This window comes from Homo sapiens, chromosome 9 (genome assembly GCF_000001405.40).
Source record: "Homo sapiens chromosome 9, GRCh38.p14 Primary Assembly".
In the NCBI taxonomy this organism is placed as follows: Eukaryota; Metazoa; Chordata; class Mammalia; order Primates; family Hominidae; genus Homo; species Homo sapiens.
This window is the reverse complement of record NC_000009.12, coordinates 131597522-131614526: the sequence shown is the minus strand read 5'-3', so window position 1 is coordinate 131614526 and position 17005 is coordinate 131597522. Positions and strand designations below refer to the sequence as shown.

At 51.6% G+C, this 17005-nt stretch overlaps 1 protein-coding gene across 26 annotated transcripts in view, besides 2 other annotated features; it reads left to right on the top strand.

The window, feature by feature from the left end:
* RAPGEF1 (Rap guanine nucleotide exchange factor 1) overlaps nt 1-17005 on the top strand; it is a 163302-nt gene that overhangs the window by 125550 nt on the left and 20747 nt on the right. For 12 of the 26 annotated variants that reach the window (NM_001377938.1, NM_001377935.1, XM_005272186.5 and 9 more), the window contains 4 exons: nt 9339-9596; nt 10474-10566; nt 12378-12466; nt 16217-16328. In NM_001377938.1, the coding sequence (NP_001364867.1) occupies nt 9339-9596; nt 10474-10566; nt 12378-12466; nt 16217-16328 (552 nt within the window). Of the gene's footprint in view, nt 1-9338; nt 9597-10473; nt 10567-12377; nt 12467-15983; nt 16107-16216; nt 16329-17005 lie in introns of those variants that run through there. The other 14 variants (NM_001377937.1, NM_001304275.2, NM_005312.4 and 11 more) reach the window with 3 other exon arrangements.
* Nucleotides 7991-8285: an enhancer, noted in NCBI's record as "tiled region #10461; HepG2 Activating DNase matched - State 5:Enh". NCBI's record gives its function as "activates a minimal TATA promoter and a strong SV40 promoter by Sharpr-MPRA in HepG2 cells {active_cell/tissue: HepG2}" and the evidence as "EXISTENCE:reporter gene assay evidence [ECO:0000049][PMID:27701403]".
* Nucleotides 8238-8738: an enhancer, noted in NCBI's record as "H3K27ac hESC enhancer chr9:134481176-134481676 (GRCh37/hg19 assembly coordinates)". NCBI's record gives its function as "activates a minimal SCP1, AML or CMV promoter by ChIP-STARR-seq in naive H9 embryonic stem cells {active_cell/tissue: H9 hESC(naive)}" and the evidence as "EXISTENCE:reporter gene assay evidence [ECO:0000049][PMID:30033119]".

The window sequence follows — 17005 nt, the reverse complement described above, 5'->3', positions numbered from 1 at the left end:
CAACCTCCTGGCCACAAACCATCCCCAAGGATGAGCCATCACAGAAACCCTGGGCACACTGACGGGCCTAAAGGCCAAACAGGAAAGGGGAGAGATAGAGAGAGAAGGAGAGAAGAAGGGAGGAGAGGAGGAGGAAAACGGAATGGCCCATGGGAGGGAAGTGGAAGACAGTCCATGGGGCTCTCGGCACCTGTTGGAAAAAATAAGTTCCTGCCATCCTGACCTTTGTCCTTTGTTCCTCCCTGATGCCATCTTGTCTCATTGGCTTTTTGTCCTGGTCAGAGCTAGATCACATTGAGAGAGAGAGCAGGGAGCATCTGTGGGCAGAACCCGGTAGCCGGGGGTGGGAGAGGGGTTTCTCAAGGCAGCCCCTCCTTGGGGGGGGGTGTTGGTGCACACACTGGTCTGACCCTCCCTTTGCACGGTCCACATGGAGTGCTCCTCTTTGGGGAAAAGGACTGTGCCGCTGTCCCCATGTTGTGAAGCCCCCTTGAGGCCTCTCCCTCCCACTGGTGCATGTTCCTCCTTGGCCTGGCGTAGCTCACGTAGTACGTAGGTGCTTCAGGTTATTTCACACCGTTGACTCCTGGACTGTCCTCCATTCTTGGGGGTTTAGCAGCACAATGTAGTCTACAAGTCTATACCCTCAAGGGTGTGGTCTACCAGTCTGTGCCCTTAGGGTTAGCATCTACCAGTCCATACCCTTAGGGGCAGAGTCTACAAGTTCATACCCTTTGAGGCAGAATCTACAAGTCCAAGGTTGAGTCTCCACAGATCTCCAGCTGTTTGAGTGCAGGCTTCTCTCCTCACCAGACCCTGGGCTCCCTGAGGTCAGAAATTAGTCCCCATGCCTGGCACATAGCAGACAGGCAGGCAGTGCCCATTCACTCTTGTCCTGCCCCTCTTGTCCCAATCCCACCATGTCTTGCTGATACTGCACAGGGCATTAGCCTTGAGCGGGTCCGCTTCTCTCCAGCCCGTGGCCACTCACTTCCTCCCCACCCCCATGTCTCACCTGGATGCACTGCAGCTCCTGACTGGCCTTCCTGCCTCTGCAGTCAGAGGCCCTCCCTGCTTCTCAACCCTGCAGCTAGACTATAGTGTCGCCACATCCCTGCAGAACCAGGGCCAGCTTCCCTGGCTCTTCAGAGGCCCTCACACTGCTTCTCCCCACCTTACCACGAACCTGTCCCCTGCACACCTCCACTGCCTTCCCTTCATCCCTTCCCAACATACGAGTTTCTCCTTCCTGCACAACCCTGTCTTCTCCCCCACCGTGTTTTCTCCTTACTTGCTGTATGAACCTGAGCACACCGCCCTGCCCCAGTGCCCTGGGCCCCGCTTTCCTCTGTGCAGTGGGAGCACAAGGTTGTTACAAGGATGAAAAGCACACATGTAGTACGTGACGCACAACCAGCATTTCATGGAAAGGGAGCTATTAGCATCAGATCTGTCGCCATGTGGGGGAGGCTGCTGCTTTCCTGTGTCATGTTCCGGTTCGTCTTCTCAGGATTGCATGTCCCCTGAGGAGAGGGGATGGGCTGTGAACTGGCAGCTTTGGTGCAGCCTAGCCTCTAGCTCCCATGTAACAGATGCATTGGTCCCAGGCTCTGGCCAAGAATCCATTTTCTTCCTCATTTTCCTTCCCTACTGACCTGAGGCTCTGGCTGCTGTGTCTGACTCAAGAGTTTCCCAGGTAGTTCCTGTCTGCAGAGCCCTTGAAACACAGTTTGGCTCCTGCAGTGCGTTCCCCCTGTGCTTTTCCACTCTTCCTAAAAGACCCAGTGCTGCTCTGAAGTGTGAAGGCTGGATTAGATCCCACTCAGCTTGACCTGGTCTTGTGGAAGGAGGTACATGCAGACCAGAGCCCCTTCCAGGTCACTGCGACCCTCGGGATAACGTAGAGCCACCTATAGAGAAAGGCCCAGCTCTGGAGGAGACGGCGTTACCTCCTGAGCCCAGGAGCGAGCCTGCCTTGCCTTACTGTGGGCAGTAGGGAGTATGCCCATCTCAGCAGCAGGACTGGTCACAGCCTTGACAGCAGGAACAGAGCTGAGAGTGCCTCGCATTGGGGGCTTTCAAAAGCAACCACTCTGATGCAGCTGTTTCCAACCCCTGGTTGTAGACTTTGAGAATCTTTATTGTTTACAGCCTGGCATTTTGGCTGATCGGTGCCCCTTGACCAGCTTCAGGCACAGTAGTGTCACTGTAGCACCTGGCCGTGGTTGTACTTCTGACTCCATCCATGACAGGCAAACTGTCATGTGGGAGTTCAGTCAGGGTGGTGGGGAAAATTACAGAGGAGAAGTTTTAAGATAAAGTTATAGGAAATAGACACAAACCTTCTTGGAAGGCTGGTACCCACAGGATCCCCATTCCTTGTAAAGGTCGTGCACTGACACGCATCCTGAGGGCCAGTTCCACGTCCAGTGCCTCTCGCCTTTACTTCCACGTCAGGCTACTGTTTCCCTATCGAGGGCCTTCCTTCCTATTCTGTGATCAAATGGTTCACTGCAGTTCTAGAGATGGAGAAGCCAGGAGAGAGAAGCTGAGCCATTTGTTCCAAGTTAAGCTAGAGCCAGGGTTGGAATCCAGAACCCTATCATGAAAAATACAGCGTTAGATTAACATTTTTGAACTGCTTAATTGCCCATTTTTGAACTGCTTAATTGCCAAATAAATTTTGAGATCTCGTAAGGCTGGGTCAAAAGAAAAGTGTGTAGGCTGGACGTTGAGAGGCGTGTATTTCTCCTTCATGTTCTGACATGTTACAAAGTGTAGCTACAGGCTCTAAATAGAGTTCTAAGAATAAGTATAAATTAGAGCCCCTGTCAGGCTGTTGAAATGCAAACTGAGTAAAAATAGTTGTCAGACTTCTAGAACTGAATTTGAATCATTTTTCAGTCTGTACTAAATCTTTCTATAAAGGGTTGATGTTATTCAGATCAACACTTAGTGAATTACAGAGCATCCTAGAATGTATTGGAGGTTTTGCAAGAGTTAATTTGCCATGAAGCCATTGGCCAAAACGTAGTATTTTCAGTGGAGATATTGTGATTCCAGTTGCAAAAATACATCACATGAGAAGGAACTTAATAAGGAACTTTTGCATTCACCCATCTTCTCCCAAGCAACGCATTTTTGTTCTTTTACATCCTTTTTTCTTAGGATATTCAGGTGGTTTTTAAAAATAAGCTCCACTAAGGAGTTTATTTGAAAAGGGAGAAGATATTTTTTGGACCCAACATAATGCTAATGTTGCCTTTCTTTGGTGAGAAGAATGCCATCTTGTCATTCACACAGTGTGGCCCACAGGACTGCCTTCTTACCAGGATCAAAGACAAAACGGTCAGTGGCAGATCTCAGTTCATGTGCATGTGGCATTGGCCTCAGAACCTACCACTTGGCTTTGGAACTCATCTTTTGACATTATGTAAGGTATAGTTATTGTTTTAAATTAACACAAGGGCATCAAGGAAAAGGAGTTGCCCCTGGGCCTAAGGTAGACCCTACTGTGTAAACCAGTAGTTAATTGGGACCGTAAGGAAAGAGAAGACAAAGCCAGAGGTATCCCTAATAGTTTGCCAAATGGAGTAACAAGGAGTGTTACCAAGCACCTTTCCTGGGGCAGGAGGGTGTCCTGGGAGTGGTCATACCCCATCTCTATAAGAATCAAATCAGATAAGCTTTTCTCCCCAGACAATCACGTGGGTGTCATCATCAGTGAAAAGCTCAATTTCCTTCCAGAATAGATAAATTAGGGCCCACACTTTGAGGCTCACAGTCCCCTAGTTGAAGGACATATGTGCTCTGAGCCCAGCGCCAGTGCTGAGCTGTGGCTCCCATTGATTCTCCGCTGAGGAAGGAAGCCCAGACCACACTAGAAAAGCAGCTTCCCCTGAATGTGTTTTCTCACAAATGAGGGATAAAAATTTAAGCCCGAAAACCAGCTGTCCAATAGCTTATCTGTTTTGCTAAGTAGCATCCAAAAACTCTGAAGTCATAAGCCTTACTTGAGCCAAGATTATGCAGTAATGACCAATTTCTGGCAACTTCTCTTCCCAAACACTTCACCATGCCAGTGAATCCATTCATTTACATGACCACATTTCGCTGTAACTGGTGGAGCTGACAATTCTCCAGGGCTTGGAGCTCAAGTCACTGTGGAGCAACCATTCTGATCAAGGTTCCTCAGCCTGTGTCCCTAACCCTCAGCCGCTGATGAGCAGACAGCCTCCTCTGGCACGCGCTCTTCCTGATCAGCAGAGGAATTAAGTGGAGTGGCTGTTATATTGAGGACTCAGAATTGTTCCTTTAAAGATCTGCTTTCCTGCTGGGCACGATGGCTCACGCCTATAATCACAGCACTTTGGGAGGCTGAGGTAGGAGGATCACTTGAGCCCAGGAGTTCAAGACCAGCCTGAGCAACACAGCAAAACGCTATCTCTACAAAATCCAAAAAATCAGTTGTACCTGGCGACACATGCCTATATTCCCCCCTATTTGAGAGGCTGAGGCAGGAGAATCAGTTGAACCCAGGAGGTTGAGGCTACAGTGAGCCAAGACCGCATCACTGCACTCCAACCTGGGTGACAGAGCGAGACCCTGTCTCAAAAAAAGAAAGGAAGAAAAAGATCTTTCCTGCTTTCTTGCTAAGGCAACACAGAGCCCATCCCTAATCCTTTTTCCATGCCAGGACTATAATAGAGAGAAGGTGTCACCGAAAACTAGTGCCTTTTCTAAGTATTTTACTTGTGAGAAAAAAAACTGGTGCCTGGCCAGCTTCAGGCAGCTTTGCCTTTTAATGAATTGGCCACACGCTCGCATATGAGGTCATCAGCCTCCAGCATCGTTTCGACTCCGGGGCCCAGTGGCTTTCAGGGGTGTGTTTCCAAAGGAGCTGGTTACTGATTCCACCTTTTCCCTGCCTGTCCTGCCACACTCTGGCCAGTGCACCCCTCTCTCCATCCTGGCTTATGGATCAAGTCTCAGCTCACTGGGCTTTGCATGCCTGGTGTCACAAAGCACTCAGCTAAGGAACTCTGCAGATTTGGTGAGGCTGTACCCTGCAGAGCTGTGGGATTGCATGGTTAGGGCCTGTCTCGTCCAGGATACACCTCAGTATTTCAGAAAACACGAACTGATTGTGATATCAGCCATACCCACGCCACCTCTTGCCAGCTGTGTTATTAGGCACGTGGTCTCCCCTCCCAGCCTCAGTATTTTCATCAGTAATAAGAACAGTAAGGCACTGTGTGTACGTTAATTGAGATGATCCGTGCAACACTTACATCTGCCTAGCAGGAAGCATGAGGTAGGAATAGTTGTTCTCGTCCTCATGAGGCAGTCCCTGCTGTGTTTCGACTGGCTATGTGACCAGGGCTGACATTGGGGGCCAGGCACCCCTCTCCTAACTGGCACCCCTAGATCTTGTGCAGAAGTTTGCAAGTCTCAGACAGGCAGCCCTTCCCGTTCTAAAATCCTCAGCCCAAACAGTCTTATTCTGGCTATAAATAAAAGTTCCTGCTGCACAGAGAGCAGCAGCTCGTCAGAAGCAAACCCGGGCACGAGCCAGATCCTAAAATAAACTCCAGGCTGTGATGAGGCGGCGTTTCTGTGGAATGGCCCGCCCTGCCTTTCTCTCTGCCCCTGTGGGTAAGCGTGATCATAAGGGGCTGGAAGTATTGCTCTGGGGAATCGGTAGAGATGGGGGCCTGTTGTAAATGGTGTGACCATGAGCCCTGATGCAGCTCCTGGCATCTGCAGAGCCCAAGGGGCACAGCAAGGGCTTCATGGTGATCAGAAGGTTTTCCCTGTGTCTCCCTGCCCCGTGAAGGTACCTTTCCAGTTTGGCTCTTGTCCCAGCACGACTGCATAGCTTGAATACCAGAACGTGAGCTCACAGCTGCAGAGGCAGAGGCAGAGCAGGCCAGGCCCCTTTGTCCAAGAGAGGCCGACTCTCCTTGCTTTCTCCTTGCTAGCTGCCCCCTCCTTGGCAGCCCACACCCCTGGTCATTTCCCTGAGCCTCCCTCCCCAGTGTCTGGACCTGAACCCATGCAGTGGGTGAAGTTCGTCTCTTACCCATCCACACTCAAAACTGAGACGCTTCTGTGAGTCAGGTAATATTCTAGACACCTTAATTAATACAGTGCCTAGACTATGTATTAGGTGCCTACTAAAATACGTATCAGCAAATATGTATTAGGCCCCTACTGAATGCCCCAGTACTGTTATTTAGGGCAGTTCCTGGATTGTTGGGAGGGCAGGAGAGGACGGCTGCTGCTGGCCGAGAGGTCGTCCGCACCAGCACCATGCGGAGGACTTGCACGCAGCGCTCTGCGTCTCGCGGAACGTCGCAGAAACCTTATGGGGGAGGGGCTATTGTTTTCATCCCCGTTTTAAAGATGAACAGCTTGAGCTGAGGCTCAAGAACTTCAGTCACTTGTACTAGGGCACACAAGCGGAGATGCCATGAGGGGCAACTGGAGACCTTGCAGTCAGCCGCTGCCCTGTGCCGTCTCCCGGAAGAGGCACCATGCTGTGGGAGTCTGCCCCTCACCTTGTTGAATTAAAACCGGCTAAACACACTATATGATTGGTTAGGAAGACACTTCTCCAACTTGGTACATTTTGTGATGACACAAAAGCCATTTGTGTATGTGTAAATCAGGTGCTCAGTTATTGCAGGGCACGTGGAAGCACAAAGTGACTTTACACGGGGGCGCCGATGAGGCTATTTCAAGACTCCAGAAGGAGTCAGCGCGGAACATGACTCCTTAAACTAGGCAGCAGCAAGGCAAGGTGAGGGGGATCTGTTTAGCAAATCTCGTGGCAGTGTCTGGGCATTGGGAATGAACATCTGGCAGATCTGAGAATTGGGGCTACAAAAGATTGAGCCACTCCCTGAAACAGTCATACAAGGGTTCCCTGAAGGCAGCCCCCCCAGCAGCACGCCGTCCCACCCCTCAGCCAGTGCATCCTGCTTGCTGTCTTCTCTGTGGACTTTCCCAGCCAGTAAGGGAGGCTTGCTGTGTGCAGGCATCCTCCAGAGATCGATGGAAAACCCAGAAAGCCAAGCCCTTCACCCCACTGCCATCCCAGGAAGGCCCAGAGCGAGCTCCCAGGCCTGCAGCGCCATCCTGGGTAATTGCTGTGAAACGTTGAAGTGTTGCGTGGAGCCTGCTGTGAGGGTGTAGGTGAGGGCGGCAAGCCAGGGTGTACCAAGCAGGGTGTCTGCCCCCCGAGCTCCTGAAAGAAGGATATGAAGGGAACTTCACTTGTACAGGTACCTGAGTGTTCAGTGCTGGTCACATGTATGACACTTCCACTGATTTATTTGACCATGGCATAGGGTTGGCCTTGAGTTTGTAGGTTAGATGGGAAAGCAGATGTGTAAGTGGTAGTGAGTGCTTAGGGCAGATGTCATGGATCTGGTGTGAGATCACAGGAGTGAGATGAGGGAGGAGCTTGAAACTCTGGTCAGTGCAGCCGGGAAGGGGCCACGGCTGTACACACAGGTGGAAACGAGAGGGTTGCGTTGTCCCTCGAGTTACGGTAGCTCTTTGTACAGGTTAAAGGGTAGCTTTGCCAGACTGCTTAAGGGCCAGGAATGGTGGCTGATCCCTGTAATCCCAGCACTTTGGGAGACTGAGGCGGGCAGATCATTTGAGCTCAGGAGTTCAAGACCAGCCTGGGCAACATAGAAAGACCCCGTTTCTACAAAAAAATCAAAAAGTGAGCCGGTTGTGGTGACATGCACCTGTGGTCCCAGCTACTCAGGAACCCGAGGTGGGAGGATTGTTTAAGCCCAGGAGGTCGAGGCTGCAGTGAGCCTGGGTGACAGAGTGAGACCCTGTCTCAAAAGAGAAAACAAAAAACTACTTAAGGATGAGTGGCTTTGACCTCTTGTTAGTTTAAAACTTCATTTTTCTTCCTCTTCTTCCTCTTTTCCATGGGTTCTGAAAATCCCCAGCCACAGCAAACACAGAGAATGTTTGAGCGAGTGGCACGCACATTTGCACTGGGCTTGACTTTCCTCACGTCCCTGCCTCTGTAGTGGGCCAGTGAGCCCGGCAAGGTCTTTGTTTTGTTTAATTTTGTGACTCATTCATTCACCCATATCTGCAAGGACTTTGGACGTGGCCACCCCCACAGCGCTCTCCCAGCTCCCCATGATGGTAGCAGCATGATGGCAGGCCTTTGTAGGACACGATGACATCACATCATTAGATTCTCTCCACGTGGTGGCTGCTGACCAGGTCCTGGAACACCTCTGTCCCTCCTTCAGCAGCAGAGCCCCAGCCGGGGGTGCTCACTGGACCCCAGAAGCCATGGGATTTGCTGTCACTTCTCAACACAGTGTCTTTCCTCTCTGATGAGCATCTGGGGGAGTATAGCCTTGTGGCTACAAGGTGGCATCAAAGCTGTTGTAAGATCACATTTGTTTTTATTTGAGACAGGACCTTGCTTTGTCACCCAGCCTGGAGTACAGTGACTTGATCTTGCCTCACTGCAACCTCTGCCTTCTGGGCTCAAGTGATCCTCCCATCTCAGCCTCCAGAGCAGCTAAAACTGCAGGCACTCACCACCACCCCCAGCTCATTTTTGTATTTTTTGTAGAGATGGGGTTTTGCCATGTTGCCCAGGCTGGCCTCAAACTCCTGGGCTCAAGCAATCCACCTGCCTTGGCCTCCCAAAGAGCTGAGACTGCAGGTGTGAGCCACCATGCCCAGCCTACTTCATTTGTTAAAAAAAAAAAAAAAGAAAGAAAGAAAGAAAAAAATGGGGTAGGAAGAGAAATGGACTCAGACATCGTTAGCATTTCCATAGTGCAGCTTGCCAGCCACGCTTAAGGTTTGTGCCGCTCCTTTCCAAAAGCATTCAAGGTGGATTTCAATGTTTAAAAGTTGCAGTGTTTGACTCTTAAGGAATAAAACCTGAGAGATTCATCCAGAAATTCAAAATGAGTAATTACAATGACATTGAATTTGGCCACGAAGTTCCTGAGCAGACAAGACAGCGATGGGCCACGCAGGTTTTATTTTCTGTCCCAGCAGAGCATGTGGCCACTTGAGCCGTTCTCTGTGTCATGCTGTTTAGATAGCCCTGAGGACAGCGCTGTTCACTCTCCAGTCTCAGGGCCCTTCTCAAGGGAGGAGGTGCTGGGTGTGGGTATCACAGTGGCCTGAGGACTGGGGGTTGCTTGGCGTGATTGGTGGCCCGTTAGACTAAGTTATTGTGAACGGCCTGTCACTGCTCAGCTACTGCCAATCTAATTACTTTTTCTCTTTTCTTCTTGTATTCTCGTTTTTGTTTGTTCTCCACCTGGATTCTGTAGTATAAGTCTGTGTTTAGGTCCTACTCCCAGGATTTCGTGCCTCACCACCAAGCTTCCGTTCCGCCTTTCCTTCCGCCTACCTCCTCTTCCTCTCCACATTTCCCACCTGCCCACCAGTCTCAGAGCTCTGACTTAGCCGTGCCAACCATGGCCGGTCCACCTCCCAGCACCGTGGACGGGCCTCTCTCGGCTTCTCAGGAGAGCAGCTTTCATGGGAATACTGTCTGCCTTCCTTCCGAAACCTCTTTCACTGACTCGGTGAGAACTCAGCGTGCACACACACACACACACACACACACACACCCCTGCACATGGGGCTGCACGTTTTTTAAAAAGCGGTTTCACGTTCCTGAAAGACACTGCCTCCCCTTTACTAGCAGTTGGGGGCTGCCAGCGCACACCTGCTGGCAGCATGGCTGAGCTGACAGCTACTGAGGGTCACAAGGTGCAATGGGAGCCCATGTGTTTCCAGAACAGAACTGACTCTTCTATACAAAGTTCTATCAAACTAGGAATCTGATTTTCCACAAATGGATTAGTGGCCATTTAGAGAGGAACTTATCAGACGCATAAGATACAAAATGCTACTAGCTTTCCATTTACTTGTCTGTTTTTAGGGAAAGGTACAAAGCCCTTCGCAAGTGTGGAGGTGACAGATTCAGGACAAGTGTCTGTTCGGTTGCATGTGGTGCCGATGACAGAAGCCTGGTCTCTAGCCTGTTAAAGTGCCTGTAGCGCTTCGTCCAACTCAGAGAAATGCTGCCTTGCAGATTGGAGCAGACAAGTACATGGGGCAGAGGAAGTGCAGGCAGCGGACCCCACTCCCCAGTATGTGGGATTGTCTTGATGTGTTGCTTCTCTCCCTCCATAATCGTTTCCCGCCACACTGGGGACCCCTGCTGTCTCCACTACAGTGGGGCCATCTCTCCAGGATGATTTAGCCCCAGACACCATTGGAGGGGCAGCAGCAGGAGACTTGGATCCCCTCTAGCACAGAGGCAAGAGGTGGCAAAAGCAGCTTTGCTCTCTGCACCTGGGAAGACCAGAGTGCAGGCTGTGGCATCCCCTGGCCAGCTGTGAGGGCCGGCTGGAGGGCCTGGCCCATGTGTCTTTCCTCTCGTCCTGTCTCCCCCAGAGTGAAAACGCCAGTGAGGAAGCTGGTGAGGGTGAATATGTCAATCTGTATTCCTCTGGCCAGAGCAGCGAGGAGCTGGCTCCCTCTCGAGGAGTAAGTAACCTCGGGCGGCCTCCTGCATGTGGCCTGGCCTGGTGGGGCTTGGGCTCTGCCCTCCCGAGGCCGCTTCCCCCGCACCTGCTTCTGTTGGGCTGAGCCCCCTCCTAGTCACCAGCAGACTGGGCTCCTGCAGGCTGCTGGGAGCCAGCTCGGCCCTTTGGAGAGGACGTGGCTTCCAGGTGGAGGTCTGCCCTTTGCTCCTGCTTCAGTGCGTGTGGCACTCCTCAGAGCCTGGCCAGATGGGTCATCTAGAAATCTCTGGGACCAGCGTGGCACGGGCCCCGGCTGTGTATCTAGTGCTCTCTGTGGGGTTCCTTCCTCCCTTATCTTCTGGTGTTGGCTTCATCTTCTGTCCCTCATGCAGAGGGAGGGACTCTTCTTCCCATAGGGCCTTTCAGACCTTCATCTCCCTCCCCAGCATGTCCCATTGCTCCAACACTGACTGCTTCTGAGGAAGCGGGTGAGTCTGGCCCATAGCCCCTGCCATGACTATGCACACCCCCTCCTGAGGGAGCCACAAGGTACCCGACGTCAGCACCCTCGTGATGCTGCTGCCCCAGCTCCCGACCATCGCGGTACAGCAGTTCTATTGAGCAATCCACTTTCCACATTTTGCTTCAGCCAAACATGAGCAAGTTCAAAAGCTTCAGAAATTGCTCCCCCCATGAGCCCAGGTGGGACAGGTTCCTTGAAGGGAGGCCCATGAGGGCTGGAAGACTCCCAGTGATCCACCCCAGGGCGGGCCCCCACCCGTGAAGAGCTTGGTCACACCCGTTCAGGTGGTTCTCTCAGCAGGGTCCCCACAGGGGTTCAGAGGCCCACCCAGAGCCAGCCCTGTTTCAGACATTAGCAGGTTATAGAACATTGAAGAGTGTCCACTCCAGTGGGATTTGACCCAGTCCATGGGAGCTGTCTCCTCTGCTGACATGTGCATCTGGCACCCCCCGGCTCAGCCTCCCCATGGTGAAGTCCACGTGCAGGTAGAGGCCAGCTTCGCATGGCTCTCTCCCTCCACTGTGACACTTCCAGGGCTCACTGGCTCCTTGCCTTGAAGCACTCTTTCTGTATTTGTCCTGCCCCAGTTCTCCATCAGGCTCAGCAGCAGACCAGGGATGTTGGCGGGCCATGTTGTCACTGAGTAGGGCCAGCCCAGGGACCCAGGAGGAAGCAAGTCTGCCGGAGGAAGAGGGGACTGGCACCCCAGGGCCTGAGAGCTGGCCCTTTGGGGACTGAACCCGGTTGAGCACTGCAGCCCTGAGGACTTCTTTAAATCAGCAGAGTTTGGTTCACGACAGCAGGGCCCAGTGGTTAAGGGCACAGGCTTTGCAGGTAGATAGCCCTGGGTTCAAATCCAAGCTCTGCTGTTTATGAGCTGTGTGGTCTTGAGCAGGGTCCTTGACTTCTGGCCTCTGTTTCTATGCATGGAGTGGGGACGATGGTGTTAGCTCACTGACGAAGTCAAATGAGGAGAAGTGGGCACAGCCTAGAGCCCAGTCCCTGGCTGTGCTCGGGGGGAGTGGCTATGACAGTCTTCTTTGAGGAGGTAGTTGAGGTGGCTTTGCCTAGGTTGGCAGCTTACAGATGAGACAAATAGTGGCACCTTTCACTTTCTCCAAAGGCCACATGCTAGTCTTGAGGGCTTGTGTTTCCTGTGATTAACGGCATTCATCTTTAATTTGTTCACATCTGAGATTGCTCCATAGGAACTTGCACTCCACAGCCACTTGCAGGCAGGAATGCTGGGAAGACAGAGCAGCCCCGCAGAGGGCCCCTGTCCAGAACTCAGCACCCACTCCTCTTTCCAGGAGCCACCGGCTGGGAAAGACGGACATCCCAGAGATCCCTCAGCGGTCAGCGGCGTCCCTGGGAAGGACAGCAGAGACGGCAGTGAGAGGTAGGAAGTGGACCCAGAGGAGCTGGGTCCCCCGAGAGCAGTGCGCCCACTCATGAGGCCTGCCTGAGCAGCCTCTCCCAGCTAGCCCCTAGGCCTGAGGGTATTTCAAGTTGAAACTCTTCCTTCTTTCCTTATTTCCTTTTTTTGTTTTTTAGAGACAGGGTATTGATCTGTTACCCAGACTGGAGTGCAGTGGCACAATTGCAGCTCACTATAACCTTGAACTCCCGGGCTCAAGCGATCCTCCCACCTCAGCCTCCCAGATAGCTGGGACTACAGGCATGCAGTACCACGCCCAGCTGATTGTTTTAGTTTTTTGTAGAGACGAGGTCTCGCTATGTTGCCTAGGATGGTCACTAACTCCTGGCTTCAAGCGATCCTCCCACATCAGCCTCCCAAAGTGCTGGGCTTACAGGCATGAGCCACTGTACCTGGCCCTCTTCCTTTTTTTCTGATTCTCAAATAATACAAGCTCAGGATAGAAACTGTTGAAAAGCATAGAAAACTGCAAGAAAGCAAGAAAAATCACTAATAACCCCACCCTGCAAAGGCCTTCACATGTAGTTTGCCATTACTTCTTGATTGTTTGCACCTATATTATCTACCTTACAAATTACCCACGATAGCCTTGTCTTTTCTTTTTCAAATCCCAGGCCAACCTCCCTTGGTCTTGGCCTCTTTCAAGTTGATAGGGAGTGTAAAAGACACCCCCTCCACTTACAAACTTGTTATCAGGGACATTTCTAGACATATGTGTGCATGTGATGTTGCTAACAAGAATGTCTTGTATATCTTAATTTTTTGCAGCCAAGATCAGGAGCTGTTCATTGCATTTAGTCATTACAGCTCTTTAATGTCTTATAACTTTTTTTTTTTTTTTTTTTTTTTTGAGACGGAGTCTCACTCTGTCGCCCAGGCTAGAGTGCAGTGGCGCGATCTCGGCTCACTGCAACTTCCGCCTCCCGGGCTCAAGCGATTCTCCCGCCTCAGCTTCCCAAGTAGCTGGGACTACAGGCATGTGCCACCATGCCCGGCTAAGTTTTTATTTATTTATTTATTTTGTATTTTTAGTAGAGACGGGGTTTCACCATGTTAGCCAGGATGGTCTCAATCTCCCGACCTCATGATCCACCTGCCCCAGCCTCCCAAAGTGCTGGGATTACAGGCGTGAGCCATGATGCCTGGCCACATTTTTCAATATTAGCATAAACCAAACCTGACCAAGTGTAGAAATACGTAGTAGATTTCCCCAGTATGCACCTGTGAAATATGATGTGTAGGATCTGCAAATGGGCACTCCCACCTGCAACTTCACATTGACTTCCCCTTCTCTATGAAATGTTCCATGTGTTCAAGCTTTTCCTCCCTCCTTAGGTCAAGCTTTAGCCACCTCTGGGGTCTTTGGTGACCTTAGAGCAAGGGAGTGCCCACTTGTCATTATCAGGGCTCAGCATGAATGGTTGAAGAGGCAGTTAATAAAAATAGCAAAAGAAAGAAAAAGAAATGAGAAGGCATTGCATAGGGACCTGTTGAAGAGGGCCACCTGCCCAGCCTGCCTCCTGGCCACTCTTGTGCTCTCTGACTTGTCTCTCTGACTTGTCTGCCCAGACTGAGCTTTCCCCAGGTGTGAAGCCAGGAATGGTGTGGTTTCTAGGTTAATACCTGGGGCAGAGTGTGTGGGCCAAGCAAATGCAGCTCGTGGGTATGCCACTAGCTTCACTGGACCCCAAAGTATCGTCTTCAGAGTTCCAGATGGTTCTCGTGAAAGAGAAGGATGAACACTTTGACTGCTCAGAAATAATTATGGGATGTTGTCCCTCCATCAAGGCCAAACCACAGGGTGAACATTGACGAGATGTGGAGCAGGGATTTTCTCGAGACTGGGCAGGGCCCACTCTGACCCATCCATATTCTTTTACTGAAGGCACATTTTTTTTTTTCCCTTGAGACAGAGTCTCACTCTGTCACCTAGGCTGGAGTGCAGTGGTGCGATCTCGGCTCACTGCAACCTCCACCTCCTGGGTTCAAGTGATTCTCCTGCCCCAGCCTCCAAGTAGCTGGGTTACAGGCAAGCGCCACCACGCCCAGCTAGTTTTTGTATTTTTAGTAGAGACAGGGTTTCACCATGTTGGCCAGGCTGGTCTCGAACTCCTGACTTCAAGTGATCCACCCGCCTCGGCCTCCCAAAGTGCTGGAATTACAGGCGTGAGCCACCACGTTTGGCCTAAAGGCACATATTTTTACATCTCAGATACCTGGGGTTAAAATGTGACCTATGACCACAAGACGGGCCAGAATAAAATAGAGGAACATGGAAGAAAATGCCAGGGGAAAGCCAGGCATATCTGTAGGCCCAGCTTCCACTCTCCCCAGAACACCCTAAGCTGGGAGACTCATCTTGGACACCCCCGGCCGTCCCACCTTCCCCTTTGTGGGAAATGTTCTCTCCCATCCTTCAGCCGGCAACTTAGGCTCAGTACTGCAAGCCTCGGCTCACCCATCCCATTCCAGAAGCCTCCCGACCTTTAGACGAGGCCAGACCCCCTGGCTGTGCTCATGGTACCCTTCTGGGCTTCCCCTTTCTCTGTGCTACTGTGACCACTTGTTTTAAAATTCTGTCTCAAAAAAAAAAAAAAAAAAGACTGGGCACGGTGGCTCATGCTTATAATCTTAACACTTTGAGAGGCCAAAGCAGGAGAATCACATGAGTCAGGAGATCAAGACCAGCCTGAGCTACATAGTGAGACCTCATCCCTACAATGAACAGAATTATCCAGGCATGGTGGCTTGTGCCTGTAGTCCTCGCTACTTGGGAGACTAAGGTGGGAGGATGGCTTGAGCCCAGGAGGTCAGGGCTGCAGTGAGCCAAGATCGCACCACTGCACTCCAGCCTGGGCTACAGAGGGAGACTCTGTCTCAAAAAAAAAAACAAATAAGTGGCTGGGCACGGTGGCTCACACCTATAATCCCAGCACTTTGGGAAGCCGAATTGGGCAGATCACGAGGACAGGAGTTCGAGACCAGCCTGACCAACATAGTGAATCCCTGTCTCTACTAAAAATACAAAAATTAGCAGGACGTAGTGGCATGTGCCTGTAATCCCAGCTACTCAGGAGGCTGAGGCAGGAGAATCACTTGAACCCAGGAGGTGGAGGTTGTGATGAGCCAAGATTGCGCCACTGCACTCCAGCCTGGGTGACAGAGCGAGACTCCGTCTCAAAAAAAAAAAAAAAGCAAATAAATAAATTCTGTCTCCTGCTCGACTGAACCCTCAGGGACAAGAGGCTATGTCTGCTTGGTTCACAGCTCTTTCTTAGCGCCAAGCAAAGGGTCCCGTGGCAAGTCGGTCCTTGGAGAAGACTTGGGGAGCAGCCTCAAGAGCAATGCAGCTTTCTCTCCCATTCTGCTTGCCCCTTAGCTCCTCCTCTCCCTAAATGCTAACTGTGCGGTGGGCCTTGGCAGGGAGTGGCTGAGACCATCACTCAAACAGCTTAATGGAACCTTTTTATTTTCCCAGCGGAATCACTTCCGTGTACAGATGGAACATCCAGAGGCAGCAGCGACTGTCCTATGGCCACACAGCCAGTCAGTAGCAGAGCTGAGGATCCAGTCCATAGTGACGTAGCTGCCATCGGGGCAGGCATGTTCCGGGAGCGGTTTCGAGCCGTGCACACCGGCACTGCCTTGGCCTCCAGGCATCGGGAGCTGAGCCGGTTTGACACTTGCAACACAAACCACTTCTCCCCGCAGGGCCCCAAAGTCACCAGATGCTCTGGAGTCGGCTCAGTCGGAGGAGGAAGTGGACGAGCTGTCCCTCATTGACCACAACGAAATTATGTCCAGGCTGACGCTCAAGCAGGAGGTGAGAACTTCCCGGGCTGGGGCTTTGCAGCCTGGCCCCACAGAGGAGAGCAGGTGGGGCAGAGAAGAATGTGATCTTGTCATAAGCAGAACAACCCTAGGAGGCTTAGAGACCAAGTCTTTCAATGCCCCTGGTGAGCCTCTGGGCTGTGGGCTCTGGAGGGGTAGACTCCAGGGGAAGTGTGCTGTCTCCTTCTGATGCTTATAGAAAGTCATCTTACACAGGTCAAGTTCTGCAGCCTCTCTAGCTAAAGATGCCAGAACTCCTGAGGGTGTGGAGATGGAACCCCTGTAAATGCTCTGCAGACAGAGCCTGCATGTGGCCGGCCCTCACTAATGGGAAACTTTTTCTGTGGTTGAAAAAATAGCTCCACTGTAGCTTCAGTCTGGGAGACAGAGGCAGGGGAATGGCTTGAGTCCAGGCGTTCAAGACCAGCCTGGGCAACACAGCAAGACCCATCTCTAAAAAAAAAGAAAAGAAAATTCAGGCCTGGACACTGTGGATTCCCTGGTCCTGTGCCTTGCCTGCAGAACCTCGTTGGTGAAAAAGGGCCCAAACCTGTGAGAGTGGAGAGGAAGCAGGACAGAGAGTGCCCTGCCTCTCCCTCCTGCCGTGCAGTGCTAGAAGTACAAAGGAGCGGCTTCATAAAGCAGCCTTGGCCCGCACCAGGAGGCAAC